This window comes from Homo sapiens, chromosome 5, assembly GCF_000001405.40.
Source record: "Homo sapiens chromosome 5, GRCh38.p14 Primary Assembly".
NCBI classification, from domain to species: Eukaryota; Metazoa; Chordata; class Mammalia; order Primates; family Hominidae; genus Homo; species Homo sapiens.
Window position 1 is genome coordinate 154,402,561 of NC_000005.10, and position 25,004 is coordinate 154,427,564.

General features: G+C 45.5%; 1 protein-coding gene and 1 long non-coding RNA gene across 2 annotated transcripts in view, besides 2 other annotated features; one reads left to right on the forward strand and one right to left on the reverse strand.

Moving 5' to 3' along the window:
- GALNT10 (polypeptide N-acetylgalactosaminyltransferase 10) overlaps positions 1 to 18,424 on the forward strand; it is a 230,252-nt gene extending 211,828 nt beyond the window's left edge. The window contains exons 8-12 of the mRNA NM_198321.4: positions 1,544 to 1,651; positions 6,981 to 7,202; positions 10,329 to 10,445; positions 13,223 to 13,372; positions 14,254 to 18,424. Of these exons, the coding sequence (NP_938080.1) occupies positions 1,544 to 1,651; positions 6,981 to 7,202; positions 10,329 to 10,445; positions 13,223 to 13,372; positions 14,254 to 14,412 (756 nt within the window). The 3' untranslated portion in view covers positions 14,413 to 18,424. The remainder of the gene's footprint in view (positions 1 to 1,543; positions 1,652 to 6,980; positions 7,203 to 10,328; positions 10,446 to 13,222; positions 13,373 to 14,253) is intronic.
- The window catches only part of SAP30L-AS1 (SAP30L and GALNT10 antisense RNA 1), a 56,054-nt gene that overhangs the window by 12,792 nt on the left and 18,258 nt on the right, over positions 1 to 25,004 (reverse strand). The gene's annotated exons all lie outside the window — the stretch shown is intronic.
- Positions 2,784 to 2,833: a silencer, noted in NCBI's record as "silent region_16540". NCBI's record gives its function as "represses an Ori minimal core promoter by ATAC-STARR-seq in GM12878 lymphoblastoid cells {active_cell/tissue: GM12878}" and the evidence as "EXISTENCE:reporter gene assay evidence [ECO:0000049][PMID:35858748]".
- Positions 7,824 to 8,324: an enhancer, noted in NCBI's record as "H3K27ac hESC enhancer chr5:153789944-153790444 (GRCh37/hg19 assembly coordinates)". NCBI's record gives its function as "activates a minimal SCP1, AML or CMV promoter by ChIP-STARR-seq in primed H9 embryonic stem cells {active_cell/tissue: H9 hESC(primed)}" and the evidence as "EXISTENCE:reporter gene assay evidence [ECO:0000049][PMID:30033119]".

The following is a 25,004-nucleotide window of genomic DNA, read 5'->3' on the forward strand; positions in this document are numbered from 1 at the left end:
GTTATGATGGCAGCGCTTCCCTAGGCCAGGGATTTGGGAGTGGCTTGGTTTGATAGCTCCACCTTGGGTCTCGCATAGGAGAATAGTCAGGCCATGAGCCAGGGCCGCAGTCATCTGCAGGCTTGACTGTGACCACGACCTCTGCTTCTTGGTGGCTCACTGACCTGGCTGGCAAATTAGTGCTGTGGGCAGGAGGCCTCAGCTCTCACCGCATGGACCTCTCCACAGCATGGCTGGGGTGTCCTCAAACATGGCAGCTGGCTCCTCCAAAGCCAGCGGTCCCACAGAGAAAGGTGGAAGCCACGGCATCTTTATGACCGTCATTTCTGCAGTATCCTGTGGGTTACACAGGTCAGTCCTCATGTGACTCACTGGGAGGCATCTACACAGGGGCACAAATACGAGGAGGCAGGGATTGTGAGGCCACTTCGGAGGCTGGGGCCTCGGCTGACTGATTCACTGCTGTGTCCTGAGTATGCACCAGATCTTGTGCTAAACCCTTTTACACACAATATCTCATCTTCCAGTCCTGCCTCCTCTATTTCTTTACAGGAAACTGAGTCTCAGAGAAGTTAAGTACCTTAATCAAAGTCATAAAGTGGGTAAGTGGCTGAGCCAGGATTCAAACCCAGGCCTGCCAAGGAGGGTCTGTGTAGGCCAAAGTCATCAAGTGGGTAAGTGGCTGAGCCAGGATTCAAACCCAGGCCTCCCAAGGAGGGTCTATGTAGGCTGGGCCCCTCAGTGGGTATGAGTCAGTATTGGCTGTACATGTTCACATTCCCAAGTTGCTATCAGACCAGTGGGCAAACTCAGGAGCTCTCTGTGATGTCAAATACTCCTCCCTGGGAGAGGGAGGCAAAGAGAACCATCAGATCCCACACTGCGGCAAGACCCAGCTGCACAGCCTAGCAAGCCAGACTCAGAGAAGGCAGGGCAGGGAGGCTGACGGAACTGCTCAGGGAGACCCAGCGAGAGGCTCATAGATCCAGGAGGAAAATAAATATGTGACAGTAAATCTACGGAACCTGTGTGCCACCTTGACTACTTATGCTGTGGCTGATGTCACTTTGTGATCACCATGGTCTTTCCCACTGATCCCCCGATGCCACCCTAGAATTCTCAACACAGCACTCCATAGTGGATTAGAGCTCAGATTCTGAAGTCAGCTAAAACAGGGTTTAAATTTTGGCTCCACCACTTACTCTGTGACCTGAGTCACATTTCTTAGCTTCTCTGAGCCTCCATTTCAGCATCTGTAAAATGTTACTACCTACTTTATAGGTTTTCTGATGAGGCTTAAGTGTGGTTGTGCATGTGACCATCTTAGCATAGTGTGTGGCAATGGTAAGCACTCAGTGCTGTCAGCTGTTTTTACCGCTGTTATTATATTACTGTGTTTTCCCATGTCATTAGGTCTGTGATCCAGGCTTCAGCAGACAATCCAGGCTGATGCTTTTGCTGAGTGCACTAAGGGATGCTGGCCTGGCGGGATGGTGAACTGGAAGCAGAAACGTCATCCTCTCTCTTCCTTCTTGCCATGCAGGTGTGGATGTGTGGGGGCCGCATGGAGGACATCCCCTGCTCCAGGGTGGGCCATATCTACAGGAAGTATGTGCCCTACAAGGTCCCGGCCGGAGTCAGCCTGGCCCGGGTAAGGTGGTGGCTTTCCTTGGCGGGTAGAAGGGGTTGGCCTAGGACCATCAGCTGCACTGAGGCACCCTGGGGCCCTAGACTGTGTTATGTGATCTCTGGGTTTGAGGATGTGCCTCCCATTCTCCAGGTGAAATCTGATTTAAAAGAACTCCCTTAAATCCCTACTTAACCATTCATTGCTATGTGACCTGGGGAGGGTTGCTTAAGTCCTCTGAACCTGTGTTTCCTCCTTTGTTTAAAGAGAGCTAATTCTTTCCAACTCCCAGCATTGCCAGGAGAATTAAGGAGGTGATACTGTTTCCCAGAGTGTGACAGAGGAGACGATCTTAGGCAGCAAACACAGGAATGTTTTCTTGTTCATGTGTTTAAGTTAATGTGGATTCTAAATTAATGTGTATTCGTGTAGCTAACCTGTAATTTCACAGATATTATTACTTAGCATACAGCTAAAGTAGGTGCAAAGTTAGACCAGAGGTGATGTAAAAAAACATGTTAGATAAATATTAATACAGGTGGTGTGGTGTGGTGTGTTTGGGAAAGCTTGCGTACTAAATTTCTGGAGGGGAAGTGGGCTTCATAAATGTCAGTGTCTTTCTCTTCTCCTCACCCCCTGTCTACTCTTACTGCCAAAACCTCTGCATGTCAAACTGTTTCATTGCCTTAAAATGGTTTCTATCAATCATTGCTTCAATTAAATTGGCCACTGGCTGCAAATGGAAATCTGTCAGCCAGAGTTTGTTTTTGGTTTGGATATTAAATGTATTCGGAAAAAAATAAATAAATCCAGGTGACCACAAAAGAAAAATGAAGAGGAGGGAGGGTCCCCAGAGGATAGAAAGAGCCTTGCGGGGAAGCTGGAAAGGACCCCCGCACAGCTTTCCCTCCGGGGAGCCTGTGAGCCCCGCCCCGGCCAGGAGACCCCGGTGCTGGCCGGGTTGGCATTAGACCGCACTGCCTCCTGTCCAGGGCGCTGCCTCCTCCTCCACTTGACAACCTTGACGTGTAGAATTGCAGCCCCCGGGACCTAGAAGAGCGTTGTCCTGTGACTTACAAGGAAAGCCGAGAGGCTCAAAGAGGCCGCGCGTCTCCCTGAGAGCCATCAGTGGGTGGGAGCTGAGCTCCGGGAAGTGTCAGGGGCCGCGTGGAGGGAAAGGAGAGCCGGCAGTGCCCTCCAGTGGTAGCAGAGCCTAACGACGCCCTCACCAGCCATCCGCGCTGCCCACAGCCCCATCCGACACGGGCGGGGGGTAGGTTCTAGGTTCAGTCCCTTGAAGCAGGAATCGCGTTCTTCTGAAAGGCCATTTGGCGATCCCTGAGGAGGGAGCCAGGCAGGAAAAGCGCACGCTCTCTCGGTACGCCCAAGACTGAGACTCTTCCGGCTACAAGGGACCATGGGGACACTCCAACTCCAGACCAGGAGCAACCCTAAAGCATTCTTTTCCTCTGCAGAGCTGTTGTTGATAAGGCTCACCTAAAAATAAAAATAGCCGGGCGCAGTGGTGTGTGCCTGTAGTCCCAACTACTCAGGAAGCTGAGGTGGGAAGATCACTTGGGCCAGGGAGGTCGAGGCTGCAGTGAGCTGTGTGTGCCACTGCACTCCAGCCTGGGTGACAAAACGAGACCATGTCTCAAAGAAAGTTTGTTGTTGTTGTTGTTGCTGTTGTTTTTTTTTTTAAAAGGCCCACCTGATAAAGAGACATTACCGCCTCCTGCTTGTTATAGAACCATTATTATAGATTAATTCAGTGGATAAGAGCTAACTGTAGTAATACTTATAAAAATTCCCTTCGAGCCAGGCATGCAAAGCATTTTACTTATCTCACTTAATTCTCACTTGTTTTTAACCCCATTTTAGGGATGGGGAACATGAAACGTGATGTTGGCGATGGAAACATTAAGTAACTAGTGCCAGAATTCAAACCTGTGTAGGTCTGACAGGTACCTGGCACATAGCAATTGTTCCTTAAACAGTGACTGCTGTTATTAGTGTTAGCATCAATATTAACAATAAAGACTGGAACATGTATTTAAAAGTCTTATCTAAATTCTGTGTTTAGGCATTTTAACGTATTTCTCTTTTACCTATCTGTACTGAAGCATCGTCCTGTGTTTGGCTTTAAGCCACTTAACAATCTGAGTGGTGCCTCATGGCTTCTTCCCCAGGGACTCTGTGATCCATCAGGTCTGATTATGTGTGGGTTCGCAGAACCACAGAGATGCCTGAATCAGGTGCGGCCTTTTATTATGGTGACTAACAACCCTCAATTACTTGCAGACCACATTTAAAATATTTGTTCAGTGGGCCGGGCGTGGTGGCTCATGCCTGTAATCCCAGCAGTTTGGGAGGCCAAGGCGGGCGGATCACCTGAGGTCAGGAGTTCAAGACCAGCCTGGTCAACATGGCAAAACCCCATCTCTACTAAAAATACAAAAATTAGCCAGGCGTGGTGGTGTGCGCCTGTAATACCAGCTACTAGGGAGGCTGAGGCAGGAGAATGGCTTGAACCCGGGAGGCGGAAGTTGCAGTGAGCCGAGACTGAGCCACTGTACTCCAGCCTGAGCGACAGAGCAAGACTCCATCTTGGGGGGAAAAAAAGTGCTCAATGTTTTAATAACCACATCCTAAGCCTTCTAGAGCATTGTCCCCTAGATGATCATTTTGATAGATTTGAGAGTTGTCCTAATAGCTCCGAGAGAGCCAGATAGAGAGAGAAACTGAGATTGTACGGACTCCGGAAGGACAAACAGCCAGACAGCCTTGAGGTAGAAGCAGTTCAGGAAGGATGAGCTGTCCACCAGCTTGCCTGCCTCAGGAACAAGTAGCCAGTCTTACATTGTTTACTAAACTTGCTGAAATCTTTCTTATCTTTGCCTCTGGAAAAAGGATCTTAGGGAAGGCAATAACAGAAACTACTCAAACTTGGTGAAACAAAAATGGAGACTTACTCCAAGGATCCAGGCAAATCTCTGTAATCCAAGCACAAGAAGTACAGTTGGGCCTCAGACGGGACTGGGACTCGGAAGTAGGAAGGTGTTGAGAGTAGAGGTATGAGGAGCCCGAAGCCCACTGAAATCCCAAGGTCCTTTTTATGTCTCTAACAAGGGGAGATGTGAGAGAAATAAGTGTAAAGTCATTTCCTTTGGTGCAAACAGTGAACTGTAGCAAAAAAGTTCAAAATCTGGGAGAAAGAGCTTTTCAAGCTGTGTCTGGAAGATACAATTATGCAATATTAATTAAAATGGTAATTATAATTAGAATTAAAATATGATGTTATTCAATCCTTTAAGAATGACACTGGTAAATTTCAGTATCATTCTTAACCAGTCTGGCCATGGTCAGAGTGTCCAGACTTGTTTTCAGTTGGAGTGAAACTACCCTCATTACCTCTGTGACTCGAGCAGGTTAGACAGTGAGCCAAAAGAGCCTGGTGGACATACTGGAAAAAGCAGAGGAAATATTGTGTTTCAGAGTGTTCATGTAGACAGTCTCTGTTAGGCCTTCAACTTCCTCTAGCACAGTTTTAAATTAAACACAGCCTTTTCTGTGCAGGGGCCTGGTGGGGATAAACACTGTTCCTGAGCTGTTTTCTAACCCACTGTGGACTCTTCAGCACTCAGGAAGAACTAGGTAGCAACAAGGAAATTCAGCTGTTTCCTGGTCCCCAACTCAGAGCCAGCAAAATGGGGGAACTGGTGAATTTTGTCTTCAGTGCGGGGGCCTCCCTCATGTTGGCTTCCTTCTCCATTACTCCAGAGTCAGCAGCCTGTTTTTGTATGGCCTGTGACCTAAGAATGGTTTTTACATTTTTAAATCATTAGAGGGAATGGGAATCAAAAGAAGAATATTTTGTGATACATGAAAATCAAATTTCAGTATCCATAAGTTTTACTGGAACCCAGCCACACCATTTATATGGTGTCTATGGCTGCTTTATAGCTACATCAGAGGTGAGACCATATGGTCTGCAAAGCCTAAGTATTTACTATCCGGCTCTTTATAGAAGACATTTAAACATTTGGGACCCCTGCCTGACCTTCTGCTCCTAGAGCAATCCTTCACACTGAGGTGCAAATGACTGATAACAGCTTAAACTGCTAACTCCCCTTTAACCTTTCAGAGGAAATTTTAGATTGCAATAGGGAAAAAACTTACGAAGGAGGTAAAACCGAAGAGTTAAAATTGGGGTGGGGGGACAACAGCCAGGGGTTGAAGAAAGATGTTTTGGAGCGGAGAATTTCCCCTGAACCCTGAAGTTTTGCTCTCAGATATATCACATATCAGAAGTTCTCACTGGGTGGGGTCTACACTGCAGATGGAATCAGGAATTTTCATCACATACATAAGAATTCCCTCTTCCTCTGTCCCCAAGTCTACTCACAAACACTTTCCTCACCTGCTGCCTCTGCTTGCCAATCATGTGGCTGTCATTTTTTAAAACTGATTATCTTTGTGCTTCATGATGAAAGTAGCAGCAACCTTTGCACCTCAAAGGATTATTAGAAATTCCAGCTGCTGATGGAATTACACCTTTTGGTTTCAAATTATAATTTGCCTTTATCACATAGCTTGGTCAAAACTCTCAGTTGAAAATGACAAAAAGCCAAATCAAATTGGCTTAGCGAAGAAAGAATATACAGGCTTCTGTAACTGGAAAGTCCAAGGTAGCTCTAGCTTCAGACATGGCTGGATTCTGGTGTTAAAAGGCGGAATGCATTCCTGGATCCAGCCCTCCGCTCTGCTTCATTCTGGGTTGATTTCATCCTTGGACAGGCTCTCCTTGTCTCTCCTTGGAGGCCATATGGCCCAGCAGCTCTGGCTGGCATCCTGTCTTACCCAGCAATCCAAGCAGAAACAGAACGATTCTTCCAATAGTTCCTGCAAAAATCCCAAGGCTGATGCCTGTTGGTTGTGATTGGTGGGGCTTAGGGAATGGGTCTGCTGTTTGACCAGCCCCTGCACCGGGGGCGCCTGTATTCACATTAGCTAGGCTGGGTCCATGCCTTTCCTCCTGCCACATGAGCTGACAGGGAGACAGGGTGGCTCCCCAGAGGAAAATCAGTGGGGGCTATCGCTAGAAGAAGATGGGATGGAAGATGGGCAGGCAAAACAACAGCAGCCTATGGGCCAACTATAAGCTGTGAAGCCCTTAAAACATGCATAATGATAAATAGAAACACAGAAGGCCTAAACTCACGGTGGGGCTGGGATTTTTGATGGAACATAAAATAAGAAGGGTTGACCTCGACCTGCCAGGACCCTTTTCACCCCACTGCCTGGCTTTGGCTTCTTGGAAAGACTGACCCCTCCATTGCTTCTTGCCCCATAGAACCTTAAGCGGGTGGCCGAAGTGTGGATGGATGAGTACGCAGAGTACATTTACCAGCGCCGGCCTGAATACCGCCACCTCTCCGCTGGGGATGTCGCAGTCCAGAAAAAGCTCCGCAGCTCCCTTAACTGCAAGAGTTTCAAGTGGTTTATGACGAAGATAGCCTGGGACCTGCCCAAATTCTACCCACCCGTGGAGCCCCCGGCTGCAGCTTGGGGGGAGGTGAGTCTGGAGGGCAGGGCTGGCTCCATAATTTAATGGGTGTGCAAAATGCAAATGCAGATCCCATGTTCAAAAGGTAGAAAGTCAGTGCAGGGAGGAAAGGCGTGAATATAAAATCGTTTCCTTTCTTTCCTGGTCTCTCTCTAGCCTTGTCATGGTGTATTTTTACTTGTTAGTTAGTGTTCTCAGTGTAGAAAAATTAAAACTTTAAGTTATTAGCATGAATTTTACCTTTCATCTTTATATTATGCAGTGACAATTTAAAATTCAGATTAACAGCATGTAACTCATGTTCAGAATGGGTGAAATGACATGATCTGTATTTCCCACCTGCTGCATGCATAAGTATTTCTCACCAGAACAATCTAAACATGGCACACAACAAACTCAGCTTTTTACTTCACTTCTTGATAATGTGCATATTCTTCCAACACTCTCCACCTTCCATTTACTGATGAGTAAGAAAGGGCTGGAAGGCAAAGGAACTAAGGAGCCAGGCACAGTGGCTCAGGCCTGTAATCCTAGCACTTTGGGAGGCCAAAGCAGGAGGATGACTTGAGCTCAGGAGTTTGACAACATTTTCCTATGGGAAACATAGGAAGACCCTGTCTCTACAAAAAAAAAAAAAAAAAAGAAAAAATTAGCCAGGCGTAATGGTATGTGCCTGTAGTTGCAGCAACTTGGGAGGCTGAGGCAGGAGAACTGCTTGAGCCCAGGAGGTCGAGGTTCCAGTGAGCTGTGCTCGTGCCACTGCACTCCAGCCTGGTGACAGAGCAAGACCCTGCCTCGAAAAAGAAAAGGAACTAAGGGTTGCCCTATCTTTCCCTTTCCTTCATAAGTTCTTGGCTAACACGGGGCAGTAACGCAAGTAAGAAAGAACATGACAGGACTTGTTGGTCGTTCCTGCTTCTTAGGATGCTGTTGCCCTTCTTAGCACACCCAGAGCGAGTTCCGGTTTGAAGGGAAAGCAGGGCCTCTGGGACCCCCAGCGCCCCTATTTATTCAGTGTCTTCGCACATGCTGCATGCAGACAGGGCAGAGAGGAACAGCGTGCTTCTCTGCTCATGCACACGCTCCAGTGTCCCATCAGATTTCACTTACAAAACAGTTCAAAGATAAAATTATTCAGAATTTCAAGACAGTGGCAGCAGAGCTTTAAATCAAGCCAGGCCCTCCTGAGCATGGGGACCTGTGAACTGCGCATGGTGTGGCCCGTGAGGCCCATGCTGGCCGAGGCAGACCAGTCTTTGCAAGCAGACGAGCATGCCACCATGGGATCCTGGGTCTCTGAGCTGAGAGGACCTACCCATTCATTGATGGATAGGTTGGAGCTTGGAAAAGGGGAGCATAAGAGTTGGGGCTCTTTCAGAAGACCAATTTAAAGTAAAAAAAAATGGGGGGAATATATTGTGTTTGACTCACATATGAGCCTGGGGTAGCTATGGCTTAAGACAACCTGGATCCAGGGCTTCAAATGATGTCAGTCTCTTCTTCTCCTGCTGAACTCATGTTCCTTTTGTGTTGGCCTCATGCTGAAGGTATCAAAATGGCTTCCAGAAGCTTCAGGCTGACCAACCCCTACTGCTTGGCCAACCCAGCAGAAAGTATATGCCTCTTTCCCAGTATACCAGTAAAGGTGCAGGAATCAAGTCTTATTCTTGGATCCTGCACCCATCACTGGGGCCATCGGGGAAGACGAAAAGCAAGGGTAGGATGGACACTACGGCTGGCCACAGGGCGCGTGAGGAGCAGTAGCCCCATGGAAAGTCAGGGTGGTGTTACCAGAGGAAGGGGAGAGGCATGGTGGGCTGGCAGGAACACCAGCTGTGATTTGCTCAAATTCACACAGCAGTCACAGAGCCCTTGCCTGGCTCAGCTGCCTGGCTAGCCTACCCCAACATCACCTCCAGTTTGCAGGAGCACTGCTGTGTGGACTTCCCTCATGAGGCTCTTTGGCTCTTTACTAGTTTGTTGGCTTCCTCACTTGTGTTAGTTCAAGTCCTCCAAGAAGCAGATGCCACAGTGGGATTAGACACGCAAGAGATTTATGGTTAAAACACTTGAGAGGAAAAATGAAGACACCTGGGGAGACTAGGAGAGCCATGAGACCACAACAGTGGTCTTACATCTGTGAAGGGGTGAGGGAAGGAAGGAGAGCCGGGATAGGAAGAGTCCAGACTGCAGTAAAGCTGTAAGGAAGCTTTGGCCAGGTTGATGAAGAGTCCCCAAGCCAAATCACCAGCCAGAGGAGTTCAACATCTCGCAAGAGTGGGTCTGCCTCACCCATTGGCTGGGATCCATCCATGGGTGGACACAGTGGTGGATTCAGAATACAGGATCTGGGTGCAATGAGACTCTCTGCAACAGGAAATTGGGTGGTGCATTTTCATAGCCACCACAGCCCCCTATCCCTCAGATAAAGTAGGATTGATATCTGTAAGGTTGGAACTACATGATGTGACGCTATGCACCTAGCACAATGGCCTGCCCACAGTAAGTGCCCAATCGGTATTTGTTGGCTAAGCAAGTGAGCAGCCTAGGGCTTCAGACTCCTAGCCCAGTGCTCTTCCCACCACACCCGTCTTCATGGTTGAAGGGGAAGAGGCAACTATTGTTCTTTGGATCTCAGCAGGGGGTGAGGGGGCCTCCTGCCACCTCTTGCCATTCACCTGTCCTAAGGGACAGAGACAGTCCATGACATACAGCAAAGGTTTCATGTCCTTTTCTAGGCGCTTTCAAGGTATGGTCCCTGGACCACCTGCACCTGAGTCACCTGGAATGGGGGTAAAATCTGGTTCCTGGACCTGTCGGTTCAATTTCTCCAGGAGTAGGGCCAGGGAGTCCTTTACCAACTCCTCACCTCCACTCCCCCACCACCAACCCAGGACTCTGCATACTCTACAATACTACTTACAGCAGTGCTTTAAGGATTACATTCTGTGGACTGAGTCTTCCTTCATTGAGAGGCTCAAGGTACTTCCAACAGCCCAGGGCAAGCTTTATCAAGACGATTTGAAGGTTAATCCAGCTAATGTCTCCCACTTGGTTTCCCCTTTCACCTGGCAGGGACCCGGTGGGCACCTTAAGGCACCTCAGTGGTCCACTTCTTCCCTCTTTCCCTTTCAGATCCGAAATGTGGGCACAGGGCTGTGTGCAGACACAAAGCACGGGGCCTTGGGCTCCCCACTAAGGCTAGAGGGCTGCGTCCGAGGCCGTGGGGAGGCTGCCTGGAACAACATGCAGGTAAGGGCCGCCCCTCAGGGACTGGCAGCCAGGTTCTCTGAAACATCTGCAGCCTGGGGTGCTGACACGGCCAGCTGGGAGGGAGAGGCATGGGTCAGTGATAAATGACAAGAGTCAGCCCCGGGGATGAGTTTTAAGATCTTCCTGAACACCGTGGAAAGGGGATTCCTTCACATTGCAATAAAACCATCAGTCTGGACCATTTTGGTTACAAATGATGGACACTCAGCCCAAATGGCCTTCAACAAAAAGTGCGTTATTGTCTCATGTCCCTGAAAAGCCTTGATGATGTTGCTGGATCTCTCAAGAGAGTGCTTCCCTCTCTGCGGGCCTCATTCTCAACCTGGCCCTTCCTATATAGTAGCAGATGTGGCCATCAGCAGCCCCATGGATAGGCATGCCACTTCCAAGAGTTCTGGAAAAGCCCTGGGGCTCCCATGAATTGTGTCCCTGAGCTGATTATGCAGGAAGTGAGGAAGTCCTCATATTGATGAGGACAGAGCCGTCACTTTTGAGAGGTGATGGGTGTGTTCATTACCTTGACTCTTGGAGCCTAGGGGCATGGTCAGCCTCACCTGCAGGATGGGTGGGATGCAGAGGGTAAGCCAGCCTGCAGGAAGAGCCACTGCTCAGACAATAGTGGGCTCATGCCTGCAATCCCAACAGTGTGGGAAGCTTAGGGGAGGCTTGCTTGAAGCCAGGTGTTCGAGGTTACAGTGATTGTGCCATGCACTGCAGCCTGGGTGGAGTGACATTGGGATAAACAATTATATTTTAGATACAACAACAAAAACACAATCCATAAAAGAAAAAATTGAAAAACTGGACTAATTCAAAATGAATAAAAAGCAATCCACAGATGGGAAGAAAATGTTTGTAAAGCATATATCTGATAAAGGACTTGTATCTAGAATATATAAATGAAAGGACTTGTATCCTCTCAAACTCTCAAAAGTCAATAATTTTTTTAATTTTAAAGCGGGCAGATACTTTACCAAAAAAAATATATGAATGGCAAATAAACATATTTAAAATGCTGAATTTCATTAGTTAATAGAGAAATAGAACTTGCAATTACAAGGAAATTCCAGCACACACCTATTAAAAAGACTGACCACACTGAAGATTGGCAAAGATGTGGATGAACTGGACCTGTATGCTGCTGGTGGGAGTGTAAATGGCAGAGCCACTTTGGGAAACTGTGGCAGTTTCTTAGAAAGTTGACCATTGAACCAGTCATCCCACTCCTAGGTATTTATCCAAGAGAAAGAAAACATGTGTCCATACAAAGACTTGTACACTAATGTTCATAGCAGGTTTATTTGTAATAGCCAAAAACTGGAAACCACCAAGATGTCCTGTAACAAGGAACTGGAGTGCAAATTCAGCAATAACAAGCGATGAATTATTGATAAATGCTGTTAGGACATAGATGATTCTCAACAAAATTATGTTGAGTGAAAGAATGACACAAAAGAGAATACATACTGTATGATTCCTTTATAGAAAATTCTAGAAATTGCAAACTAATCTCTAGAAACAGAAAGCAGATCAGTGGCTGACCTAAGGACATGGGGGTTGGTGGGGACAGGAGGAGGAGATTACAGAGGAGCATGAGGACACTTTTGCGGGGTAATGGTATGTTCATTACCTTGATTATGATGATGGTTTCTCGGTGTAAACATATGTCAAGATGTATCAAATTGTACACTTTAAATGTGTGCAGTTTATTGTATGCCAGTTATTATTCAGTAAAGCTACTGAAAAGTAACAAAGGTTATCAACCAAATGGATCTTGACTCAGACTAACTGTGAAAAGAAATTGATAAGAATCCTGAGCAGGCACGGTGGCTCACGCCTGTAATCCCAGCAGTTTGGGAGGCCAAGGTTGGCAGATCACCTGAGGTTAGGAGTCCAAGACCAGCCTGACCAACGTGGTGAAACCCCTTCTCTACTAAAACTACAAAATTAGCCAGGCGTGGTGGCACACACCTGTAATCCCAGCTACTTGGGAAGCTGAGGCAGGAGAATTGGTTGAACCCAGGAGGTGGAGGTTGCAGTGAGCCAAGATTGCACCATTGCACTCCAGCATGGACAACAAGAGTGAAGCTCCGTCTCAAAAAACAAACAAAAAAAAGAATCCCAAGAACACTTGAACTGTGGATATTTGATGACATTTTGGACCTTGTAGTAACTACTTTTAGATGTTATAATGGCACTTACTGAAGTGTTTATACCTGACATGATATGATAGCTGAGATTTGCTTCAAAATACTGTGAGGGTAAGGATAGGGGTGGAAGTAGAGCTGCAACAACGTTGGCCTTGAGTTGGTAACTTATTTTTTTTTTTGAGACAGAGTCTCACTCTGTCCCCCATGCTGGAGGGCAGTGGTGCAGTCTCGGCTCACTGCAACGTCTGCCTCCTGGGCTCAAGTGATTCTCATTGCCTCAGCCTCCCGAGTAGGTGGAATTACAGGCATACGCCACCACACCCAGCTAATCTTTGTATTTTTAGTAGAGACGGGGTTTCACCACGTTAGCCAGCCTGTTCTCAAGCTCCTGGCCTCAAAGTGATCCACCCACCTTGGCCTCCCAAACTGCTGGGTGAGCCACCGCACCTGGCCAAGTTAGTAACTTTTAAAGCTAGGTGGTTAGAACAGGTTAATATATTATTATTTGGACCTCTGAGTTTAAATTTTTCCATAATTTAAAAAAAATGGAGAAAAAAAGAAAGTCCTTGGCTTTGCTATCCCTATTTATGATGCCCCTGTGCACAGGTATTCACCTTCACCTGGAGAGAGGACATCCGGCCTGGAGACCCCCAGCACACCAAGAAGTTCTGCTTTGATGCCATTTCCCACACCAGCCCTGTCACGCTGTACGACTGCCACAGCATGAAGGGCAACCAGCTGTGGAAATACCGCAAAGTAAGATGGGATGCGGGGGGAGCAGGGCACCTGCTTAATTTTTTTTTAAGGCAATACAGTGCTTCACCCCTTCTTTCAACAGAGCCCATCCACTTATTCATTTGTGCCACAAACCTACCATGCCGGATTTTGTAGTCATTCAAGAGTAGTCAGAAATCTAGACTTCACTGTGAAATCCTCAAGTCTTAAATGTTGGCAACTGATTCCATTTAAAAAGAAAAGTGCAGCCGGGCACAGTGGCTCATGCCTGTAATCCCAGCACTTTGGGAGGCTGAGGTGGGTGGATCACCTGAGGTCAGGAGTTCGAGACTAGCCTGGCCAACATGGTGAAACCCCGTCTCTATACAAAAATCAGCCAGACATGGTGGCTCATGCCTGTACTCCCAGCTACTCGGGAGGCCGAGGCAGGAGAAGCACTTGAACCTGAGAGGCAGAGGTTGCAGTGAGCCAAGATTGTGCCACTACACTCCAGCCTGGGTGACAGAGTGAGAACCTGTCTCAAAAAAATTAAAAAAATTAAAAAAATAAAAGATAAAAGGAAAGCACATACACACACACACACACACACACACACACACACACACACGATAAGGACCAGTGAGGTCTGACAGGAGGTGGGCAGTGTCTAGGTCCCAGGCCTGGAAGCTGCGTGCATCACTTCTGGCCACATCCCAGCGGGCAGAACCCAGTCCCACGGCAATACCAGCTGCAAGGGAGGCTGGGCAGCATCCGGCTTGTGAGCTCAGGAGGAAAACCAACAGGTGTATGAACAGCTAGTCAGTCAGTCACTTCCTCACTTTCTCATTGCTGGTATTGTTGCTGTGGTTTGACTGGCCACATGTCTCCAGTGCTGTCTGGCTTATTACCTCCATGTTTTGTAGGACAAGACCCTGTACCACCCTGTCAGTGGCAGCTGCATGGACTGCAGTGAAAGTGACCATAGGATCTTCATGAACACCTGCAACCCATCCTCTCTCACCCAGCAGTGGCTGTTTGAACACACCAACTCAACAGTCTTGGAAAAATTCAATAGGAACTGAGCCCTCATGTCCCCTTGGCAGGCCCCCCAGGGTCTGGCACTCACTGCAGACTTCCTCTTTCAAGGGAGGCAGGGCCCCTGTGGGCACTAGGTGTAAAAGGTGCTGGCCAAATGGTTCAGGGTGAAGAGGGCTCTTGATTCAGGGGCTGGGGTCTGCCTGGTCCTTGAGCCCCTGAGTTGTGGGGGTAGGGTGAAGAGCATATCCCACAAGAGGCCCCACAGGGAGCAGAGACTGCTTTAATCCCTGCTGACATCACGGAAAAGCAACAGAGCCTTTTCAACTTTGTCACTATGTCCCCTTGAACATTATGTGGGAGAACACCAAGGTAGCCTAGGCCACCCAAAAGTGAGTCCTGCGAGGTTGCCCAGCCCTCAGATGGCTCTCCTACATGATGGTGCTTTAGAAACAAAGGTAAAATTTGCCTGTTTGGGGCAGCTTTTAGTATCGATGCCACTCATCTGCAGCAGAAGAGAAAGAAGTCCTCTTGGGGCTTTTTAGTTTCTGCCGTCCTGGGGGGAACATTGCAGTTACTGCACAGCTTCTGTTCTCTGTCACAACCCCAGGTGATTTGGTCCGGTCAAAGGCCATACTTGGGGCCCTAAGAGTGTTCAGTATTGAATGCTGATCAGCTGCCAGGTGAGGAGTCAGAAGAGGGAGCCCCCCTAGACATTTCTTTGCAGCTATGGACATGCGGGATATCTCCCCCTGCTCTCTGGGTATTTGAAATGTCAATTTTAGCACTCTCCAGGCACAAGGACAGCCCAGCACCAGCTTTACAGGGCAGTGTTTCAGATGGCCCTGAGCCCACGGAAAAGGCCAGGTAGACCTCCAAACTAGAAATGCTGGCTGATTTGCCCTGATCCATGCTTCCATTTCCCTGTCTCTCTTCCCCAGGCAATTACTGGCCTCAAAAGAGGAACAGAGGTGCTGCGAGGTGCTCACCTCACAGAGTCTGGAGGCCTCCAGGATCAACTGTGGGCAAAGTGCCTGCCTCTGACCTCATCATGGTTCTAGTTCTCATACAGAACTCCAGAATTTTTAAAGAACTCTATAATTGGATTGCAAACTAGGATGCTACATAGGATTCTGGTATTCCACATCCAATATGGATTTCTAGAATGCTGTGATTAAAGGAGCCAGCCAGGTGTAATACAGTCAAGGCAGCCCCCAGCCTAGAGACAATCTGTGAAATCCAAAGTTGGTGGTGTTGGGAAAGCAGGGGGACATGTGTCCCTCAGCTCAGCAGAGGCTGTGGTACAACATGGTCCTTGGTGAAGACCTGCACCCCTGGAACCTCCCACCATCATCACAACTGTAGTCTCATTTGCAGTGGAGAAAAGAACCCGACGTCCCACAGCCAGATATACACCCAGCTCCATGCCAGCCCTTCATGTTTACCTTTTGCTTTGTTAATTACATGTCAGACTCCTAGAGGGCCTCCAGACTAATAGGAAGCATTTCTGTAACCAACCTGCCACCCACTGATTCAGAAATGGAAATCACATTCCACAATCTATGGCTTCCACCAGCTAGCCCAGGAAATACTTGAAATCAGCATTCCAATTAGTGTTGAGTCTCTTGATTGTGTCATTTACCAATTAAATAACTGAGACCTAAGTCTGGGAACAGAGCCACGAATCTGCCTTTGAGATGCTGGCAGATCTCAAGGCCATCAATTATTGGGGGAGGGAGGGACAAACACTCCCAATCATCCACCAGTCAGACTGAATGTGTAGCTGGCGAGGAATTACTTCCACTTCTGGCCCAGCACAAGCCCTGCTTTGGCCACCTGTCTGCAAGAGAGGCGGCCCCTGTGCTTGCAACGCTTACGTGTTGATCCCAGTGTCCTTTTCCAAATGAGTGCTGTAGCTTTAGAAGTGGCCCTCTATAGAAAGAAGTCAAAAGATGAGGCCCCTTCTAGAATCTAGGATAACAAGAGTGTTGACAGTTTGAGGAGTCGAATTGAGATTCATCATCAAAGAGCAATGCAGCGTCGTTAAAATAAAAACTGTGCCTTTTAAAAAGAAAAATGCAAATATAGAGCAAATCCCTAAACTTGAACCATTTCCTAGTGCCTTGCTAGACAAACATAAAGGGGCAGGGTTGTGGGGAGGGGAACGTTTTTGGTGGTGTGTGCAGTTCCTACTGGATGAGTGTGTGTTTCTTAATGTCTCATTTCAAGCAGGAGATGTTGGGTCTGGAGCAAGATCTGAGACTGAGATGTCCCCCAAGGGTGACAGGTCAGATTTATTTCAGTCAGTGCAAGTCACACTCCAAACTAAAGGCTGGGCAGTGCGTTTAGTCTGTGGCCTAGAAGACCTCATCAGCCCCCGAGAGGAGGCCTTGCATTACCTCACTGGGACCTGTTTGGGGGCCATCCCTGCGGTCCACCCTCTGAACCCCCAGCATGTTTGTCCTGTTTCTCACCATTGGGTTAAGGGGTGCCGAGCACTAGCTAGACTTCCACATAGTCCCACCCCAAGTGGGCGGCAGTGTTCCTGGCATGACCAGGATTCCTGTGAAAGCAGGAGCAGCAGCAAGCCGTCCCGGGCCTGCCTTTCCCATCCTTTGGTTCTCCTTTCCAGTCTGGGTTCACACCCTGAAAAGGGATGGGTGTGTCCTCTGAGCACTCTGGCATTTGTCATTGCTGAGCCCATATCAGTAGGTCCTGGGACTTGACAAAGTATGTGGGAGGGGAAGGAAGGACAGAACTTGACTGGCTCCATTTCATGGACCAACTGATCAATTGCCAGTACTAAGCCACTCATTGTTATGGCTTCCTTTTTGAAAACCACCTGTCTCAAGGATTCAGGTTTCTGCTCACATCCCCAGCTGATGCTCAATAAAACTCAGCCAGGAGCATATGGAGATGCTGACAGCCAGGTAATGGGTGAGACTGTGGGGTCCCTTTTCCTCTAAAGCCTTTACTCTGAGGATAAGGTCACAAAGTAGGGTGTGACTTGAAAGTATCGTGACCATGTGGCCCACCAGCAGCCTTTCCAAAGGGGAACTCCAGAGACATTTCATAATGCAAACAGCACTGTTGCTTTAAGAACAAGGCCTTTGGAGGTGGCTAAACTTGCACGCACGTGTGTGAAAAGCCATCCCATCTTCTGCCTCCAGTTGGAGCTTTCAGCTGTTAAAACAGTCAGAAACTATTGATTCTTCCCTTTAGGAAAAAATGCTCAGGCAGAACGGGGTACATCCACAGGAGGAATCGGACGAGAGGATGTGACATTCGGTCCAGGAGAGAAAGAGCAGTTTCTGTTAAAGATGTAACAAATGGATTTCCAAAGTCTACATGACATTCACTTTTCAAACTTCCCACCAGTTGAATTTCTTTTTTTCCTTAAGAAACAGGTGATGTCTTGGAAAACAGCTCCTTATGTCTCTCTGTGCATCTCCATTTTCCTAGTCTCTGGAGTCTCAAAAAGAGTGGCAAAGCACTTTACAGTAGTAACTGAGGAATCAGAGTCTCTGCTTCAGCGATATCTAGTTTGTACAGTTGGGTGATCTTTTGTAATTCCTAGGAGGTAATGCATTTTTAATGTTTTCTGAAGCTTTGTAAGTGTGAGAGAGGGACAAGAAGTGCAGTTCTGTTCTGGAATTCCTTATTGCTTTCAACGGACACTCTTTGTGAAAAATCCAAGTAATATTTTAGTTCAAACTTGATCTTGAGCCAAGGCCCACTGCCACCTCTGGGATGGGAGTCGGACCTACATACCAAGTGACAAGTTCACCTTAACATCTGCTTCCAGAATGGCTTTGATTCAGCCGTGCCAGGCAACAGAACAGGGTCAGACTCCTGCTCTGTTATTGGCTTGAAGACTAGGATCCCAAAGGGGTTGGAGGCAGGGAATATTTGAAAATTCAGACTGGAATTCCAGGCCAAAAGCTCAAGACCACCAGCCTCTCCTCCTGCCTGGAAAAATAAGCCTTTGTGAAAGACTGATTTACCATGTACAATTGTGATTGTGAACGTTGTTGAGTAAACCTCCAGACTTTCTCTAAAGTGGTCTCTGCCTTCTTCCTTCTCATGTGTCATTCTTCTTTTCATCATTCTTCACGTAGACCACCTACTTCGGACTCAGGCATTCTGCTGGGTACTAAAAACTCCCAACAGCCATCATTCTAGAGTGAAAGGCAGACCTAAAACAACTAAGATGATTTCAGATGCAAATAGGGCTATGAAGGGTATAAAGCAATGATATATTAGAGACTGGAGTGGGGGTCAACGTTAGCTAGAATGGTGAGAGCTGAAAGACATGAAGGAGGGTGAACCAAGATGATTTCCCGGAACAGAGTTCCAGGCAGAGGGAACAGCTAGTGCAAAGGCCCTGAGGTAAGTAGAAGTTTCTGTGTTGGAGGAGCAGAAGGAGGTTAGCTTGAAGAGTTACGTGGGGCAGCCCACAAAGGGTCACACCCAGGAGCGGAGGATCTCAGGAGGGCAGTGACAATATGAAATAAGCATAACTTTTTTTTTTGATGGGGTCTCCCTCTGTCACCCAGGCTGGAGTGCAGTGGCACTCATAGTTTACTGCAGCCTTCAACTTGTGGGCTCAAGTGATCCTCCCACTTCAGCCTCCCTAGTAGCTGGTACCACAGACACACACCACCATGCCCATCTAATTTTTTTTATTTTTTGTAGAGATGGAGTCTTGCTATGTTACCCAGATTGTTCTTGACCTCCTGGCCTCAAACAGTCCTCCTGCCTCAGCCTCCCAAAGTGCTGAAATTACAGGCATGAGCCACCACACCCAGCTGTAACTCATTTCTGATGCTTACCCAACAGGCATGAGTACTTGCTTACCAAAACATTTTCATGCTATCAGGTATTAGATATGGTAGGAAGAGCACTGTCTGGCCCAGCTCTACAAAAAAACTCAGTGAGATCTTGTGCAAATGCTGCTTCCAACTAGGCCTGTTTTCCACAGTAAAATGACAAGTTTTTGGATGATGCTTCCAGCTCCACCTGTGGTCCTATGATTGAGTCTTGGTTGGGGGCTACGGGTGACAATGAACAGAAGCTGGAAGCTGCCCCCTCATGCTGTCACTCAGGGACCACCAGAGGGTGCTATGGACCATGGCTTGACAAAGGCTGAATAACACAAAGGGGAAATTCTGACCCAAGATGACATGGTGGTGACTGACACAGTCCATCCAGGTTTTCAGTATGCCCATGCTCATGTTATCCTCACACAATAACACCTTACAGCTTTGTAGACATGGGGAGAGATTCAATTTTTAAAGCCTTTTATACCTGTTGTACCCCCCAGACTCTCAGAAGAATTCCATGAAACAGATAAGAGAAAAATATTAGCTATCATTCAGTAAAAATGCATCAAATGCCTACTATATACCAGGCACTGTGCTAGAAATTAAAAGACTGTGCAAGGCACTTATGATCTAGTTAGAAAAATAGACATTAAACAAATGATCATTAAAATAAATGTATAGTTAGGGACTGTGGTAAGCTCTGCAAAGGAGAAGTACACGTGAGAGTATAAGAACTTGACCTTAGCAAGAAGGTCATGGAGCATGCTGAGTCGGCTAAGATCTTGTCATGATATAGCCCACTCCTGGAGTAACAGAAGAGAATTTAATGAAGGAACTATTGCAGAAGTATGGGTGGGATTAAGGAAACAACAAAGGATGGTGAAGCACCTAAGGACTAGCAGAAATGGGAAGCTGTTACTACTTGTAAGCCTGAAAAGGCAAGAAGCAGTAGTGTTACTATAATGCAGAGAAGGCTGTAGCCAGGAACAGGGGCTTCCCAATGGGATCTGCAGCTGCAGGTAGTAAATTGCAGCTACTGCCAAAACAAGAGGAGATGGGAGGAATACATATCCTGTCCTTCCTCCTTTTCTACCTTCCAGTCATCTGCCACTCACTGCCTCCCATTGGGTAAACCCAGTAATTCAAATTCACATAAAGAAATAAAAAGCACTGGTCAAAATAACTATATAGGTAAATATAGAAGACAGTATAGATAGGGTTTTTTTTAAAACTTATTTTTTCTCCTAGCTGATTTAAAAGCAAACTGCATAATTAAATAATCATAAATCTATTGATGGGCACACAATGTGTAAGGATGTAATTTATATGTCAATAACTAACGAGAAAGGGGAGGAAGAAAGGGACAGAGCTATATAAGAGCAAAGTTGCCATATACTATAACCTGAATCAGAATTTTTTAATTAAGATGTTAATTTTAACCCCCAAGGCAACAACTAAGAAAATAACTCAAAAATACATAGTTTTTAAAAAGAGAAGGGAATCAAAATGGTACACTAGAAAATAACACAAAAGAAAGTAGTAATGGAGGAATTGAACAAAAAAGATATAAGACATAAAAAACAAATAGCAAAATGGCAGAAGTTAAGTCGTTCCTTATTGGTAATTACATTAAATGTAAATAGATTCAACTCTCCTTATAAAAAGGCATAGATTGACAGAATGCATTCAAACATGGCCCAACTATAAGCTGTCTACAAGAGACACACTTTAGATACAAAGACACAAATAAATTGAAAATGTAAAAGATTTAAAAGATCGTGTGGAAAAAGATATTCCACACAAACAGTAACCAACAAAGAGCTGCAGTGGTTATAATGGCAGGCAGAACAGACTTTAAGACAAAAATTTTTGCTAGAGGTAAAGAAGGACATTTTATAATGATAAAAGGTCAAGAAGAAGATAGAAGATGTAACAACTAAAAATATATGTGCACCTAATAACAGAGCCCCAAAACACATGAAGCAAAAACTGACAGAATTGAAAGAAGAAATAATTCTTTGACAAGAATAGCTGCAGACTACAGTACCCCACTTTTAATAATGAATGGAACAAGTAGACATGAGATCAATAAGGAAATATAAAACTTAAACAATACTGTAAACCAACTAGAACTAACATCTATAGAACACTCCACCCATCAACAGCACAATACCATAACAACAAAAAAAGGAGGAAAGGAACAGAGCAACAACAGAGTTCAAGTGCACATCAAACATTCTCCAGAATAGATTATATGTCAGGTAAGAAAACAAGACTCAATAAATTGTAAAAGACTGAAATAACATAAAATAGGTTCTTCAGCTACAACAGAATATAATTAGAAATCAGTAATGGAAAATTTAGGGAAATTCAAAATATATGGAAATTAAACAAACACTCTTAATGACCAATGGGTCAAAAAAGAATTTCCAGGAAAATTAGAAAATTATTTGAGACAAACGAAAATAAAAACATGACATATCAAAATTTATGGGATGTAGAAAAATCAGTGCTCAGAGGGAAATTTATGGCTATAAATGCCTACACTTAAAAAGAAGAAAAACTTAAGTTAATAATCCAATCTTCCACCTTAAGAAACTAGAAAAAGAAGAGCAAATGAAACCCAAAGCAAACAGAAGGCAATGATAAAGATTAGAGCAGAAATCAATTAAAGAGATTAGACAAATAGAAAAAAAATCAATGAAACCGAGAGTTGGTTCCTTGAAAAGGGTTGTCTACAAAAATGAGCAAACTTTCAGCTAGACTGACCAAGAAAAAGCAAGTTGTATTTCTACACACTGACAATAAACAAAAATTAAATTAAGAAAATCCATTTATGACTGGGCACGGTGGCTCACGCCTGTAATCCCAGCACATTAGGAGGCTAAGGCAGGTAGATCACTTGAGCCCAGTTCAAAACGAGCATGGACAACATCGTGAGACCCTGTCTCTACAAAAAAAAATTAAAACTTAGCCAGGTATGATGGTGCACATCTGTAGTCTCAGCTACTAGGGAGGATGAAGTGGGAGGATACCTTGAGCCCAGGAGTTTGAGGCTGCAGTGTGTCAAGATCACACCACTGCACTCCAGCCTGGGTGACAAAGTGAAACCCTGTCTCAAAAAAAAACAAAACAAAAAGGAAAATTCATTTATAACAGCAATAGGGGAGAATAAAATACTTAGAAATAAATTTAGCCAAATAAGTGCAAGACTGACGACTACAAAACATTGTTGAAGGATATTAAAGAAGACCTAAGAAAGTGACATTCCCTGCTCATGAATCAGAAAACAATATTAAGATCACAGTACTTGCCAAGCTGATCTACAGATTCAATGCAGTCTTCATCAAAATTTTCAGTGGTAGCTGGGCGCAGGGGCTCACGCCTGTAATTCCAACACTTTGGGAGCCCAAGACGGGTGGCTCACCTGAGGTCAGGAGTTCAAGACCAGCCTGGGCAACATGGTGAAACCCCACCTCTACTAAAAATACAAAAATCAGCTGGGCGCGGCAGCGCATGCCTGTAATCCCAGCTACTGGGGAGGCTGAGGCAGGAGAATCACTTGAACCCAGGAGGCAGAGGTTGCAGTGAGCTGAGATCGTACCACTGCACTCCATCCTGGGAACCAGAACAAAACTCCATCTCAAAAAAAAAAAAACCACTTCAATGCCTTTTTTGTAGAAATGGACAAGTTAATCCTAGAATTTATATGGAAATGTAAATGATCCAGAACAGTCACAAAAATCTTCAAAAAGAATAACAAAGCTGGAGGACTTACACGTTTCAATTCCTAAATTTTCTACAAAGATACAGTAATGCAGACACACATAAGGATAGACATATAGATCAATGGAACAGAACTGAGAGTCCAGAACTCATACATTTACAGTCTATTGCTTTTTGACAACGGAATCAAAATCATCCAACGGAGAGAGAACAGTCTTTTCGAAAAATGGCACTAGGGAAGACCAGGTGCTGTGGCTCACACCTGTAAGTAATCCAGCACTTTGGGAGGCCGAGGCAGGCAGCTCACCTGAGGTCAGGAGTTGGAGACCAGTCTGGCTAACATGGTGAAACCCCATCTCTACTAAAAATACAAAAATTAGCCAGGCATGGTGGCGGGCACCTGTACTCCCAGCTACTTGGGATGCTGAGGCAGGAGAATCACTTGGACCTGGGAGGTGGAGGTTGCGGTGAGCCAAGATCATGCCACTGCACTCCAGTCTGGGCAACAGAGTGAGACTCCATCTCAAAAAAAAAAAAAATGGCACTAGGACAATTGTATATCCACATACAAAAGAATGGATTTGTACCTTTACCTCACACTACATACAAAAATTACCTTAAAATGGATAAAAGACTTAAATGTAAGAGTGAAAACTAAAAAATTTATAGAATAAAGAATAAATGTTAATCTTTGTGACCTTAAATTGGACAATCGTTTCCTAAAATATATTAAAAACACAATCAACTAAAGAATAAATAAATTGGACTTCATTGATTTAAAATTAAATTTTAAAATTACTTATTAAATTTTAAATTAAGTTGGGTTTTTTTGTTTTGTTTTGTTTTGTTTTGTTTTGTTTTGTTTTTTTGAGACGGAGTCTCGCTCTGTCGCCCAGGCTGGAGTGCAGTGGCATGGTCTCAGCTCACTGCAGCCTCCACCTCCCGGGTTCAAGCAATTCCCCTGCCTCAGCCTCCCGAGTAGCTGGGACTACAGGTGTGTGCCACAACACCCGGTTAGTTTTTGTGTTTTTAGTAGAGATGGGGCTTCACCATGTTAGCCAGGATGGTCTTGATCCCCTGACCTCATGATCTGCCCACCTCAGCCTCCCAAAGTGCTGGGATTACAGCCATGAGCCACTGCACCTAGCCTTAAAATTAATTAGTAAATTTTAAATTAAGTTTTAAAATTAATTATTAAATTTCAAATTAAATTTTAAAATTAAATTAAAATCAAATTAAAAACTATTGTGCCTCAATGTACACTATTAAGAAAGTGAAAAGAGGCCAGGTGCGGTGGCTCCCACCTATAATCCCAGCACTTTGGGAGTCTGAGGTGGGCAGATCACTTCAAGTCAGGAGTTCAAGAACATCCTGACCAACATGGTGAAACCCCGTCTCTACTAAAAATACAAAAATTAGTCAGGAGTGGTGGTGCACACCTGTAATCCCAGCTACTTGGGAGGCTGAGGCAGGAGCATCACTTGAACCCAAGAGGCGGAGGTTGCCGTGAGCCAAGATCATGCCATCTCACTCCAGCCTGGGTGACAGAGCGAGGCTCTGCCTTGAAAAAAAAAAAGAAAAAAGAAGGAAAAGAAAAGAAATAAAAAGAAAACAGAAAAAAACTCACAGAATGAGAAAATATTTTCAGATTATATTTGACAAGCGTCTGGTATCCAAAATATATAAAGGGATCTCTGGCAATACAACAATCAAAAGATGAATAAGCCAAGCAAAGATTTGAACACACATATCTACAGCCAACTGATCTTTGACAAAGTCAACAAAAATATACACTGCAGAACGGACACCCTTTTCAACAAATGGTGCTGAGAAAATTGGATTGCCATATGCGGAAGAATGAAACTGGACCCTTATCTCTCACCATGTAAAAATCAATTCAAAATAGATTAAAGACTTGAATGTAGTACATGAAACTATAAAAATACTACAAGAAAAACTAGGGGAAACTCTTCTAGACATTGATCTAGGCAAAGAATTCATGACTAAGACCTCAAAAGCACAGGCAACAAAAACAAAAATAGACAAATGGGACTTTTAAAAGTTCTGCATAGCAGGCCAGGCGCAGTGGC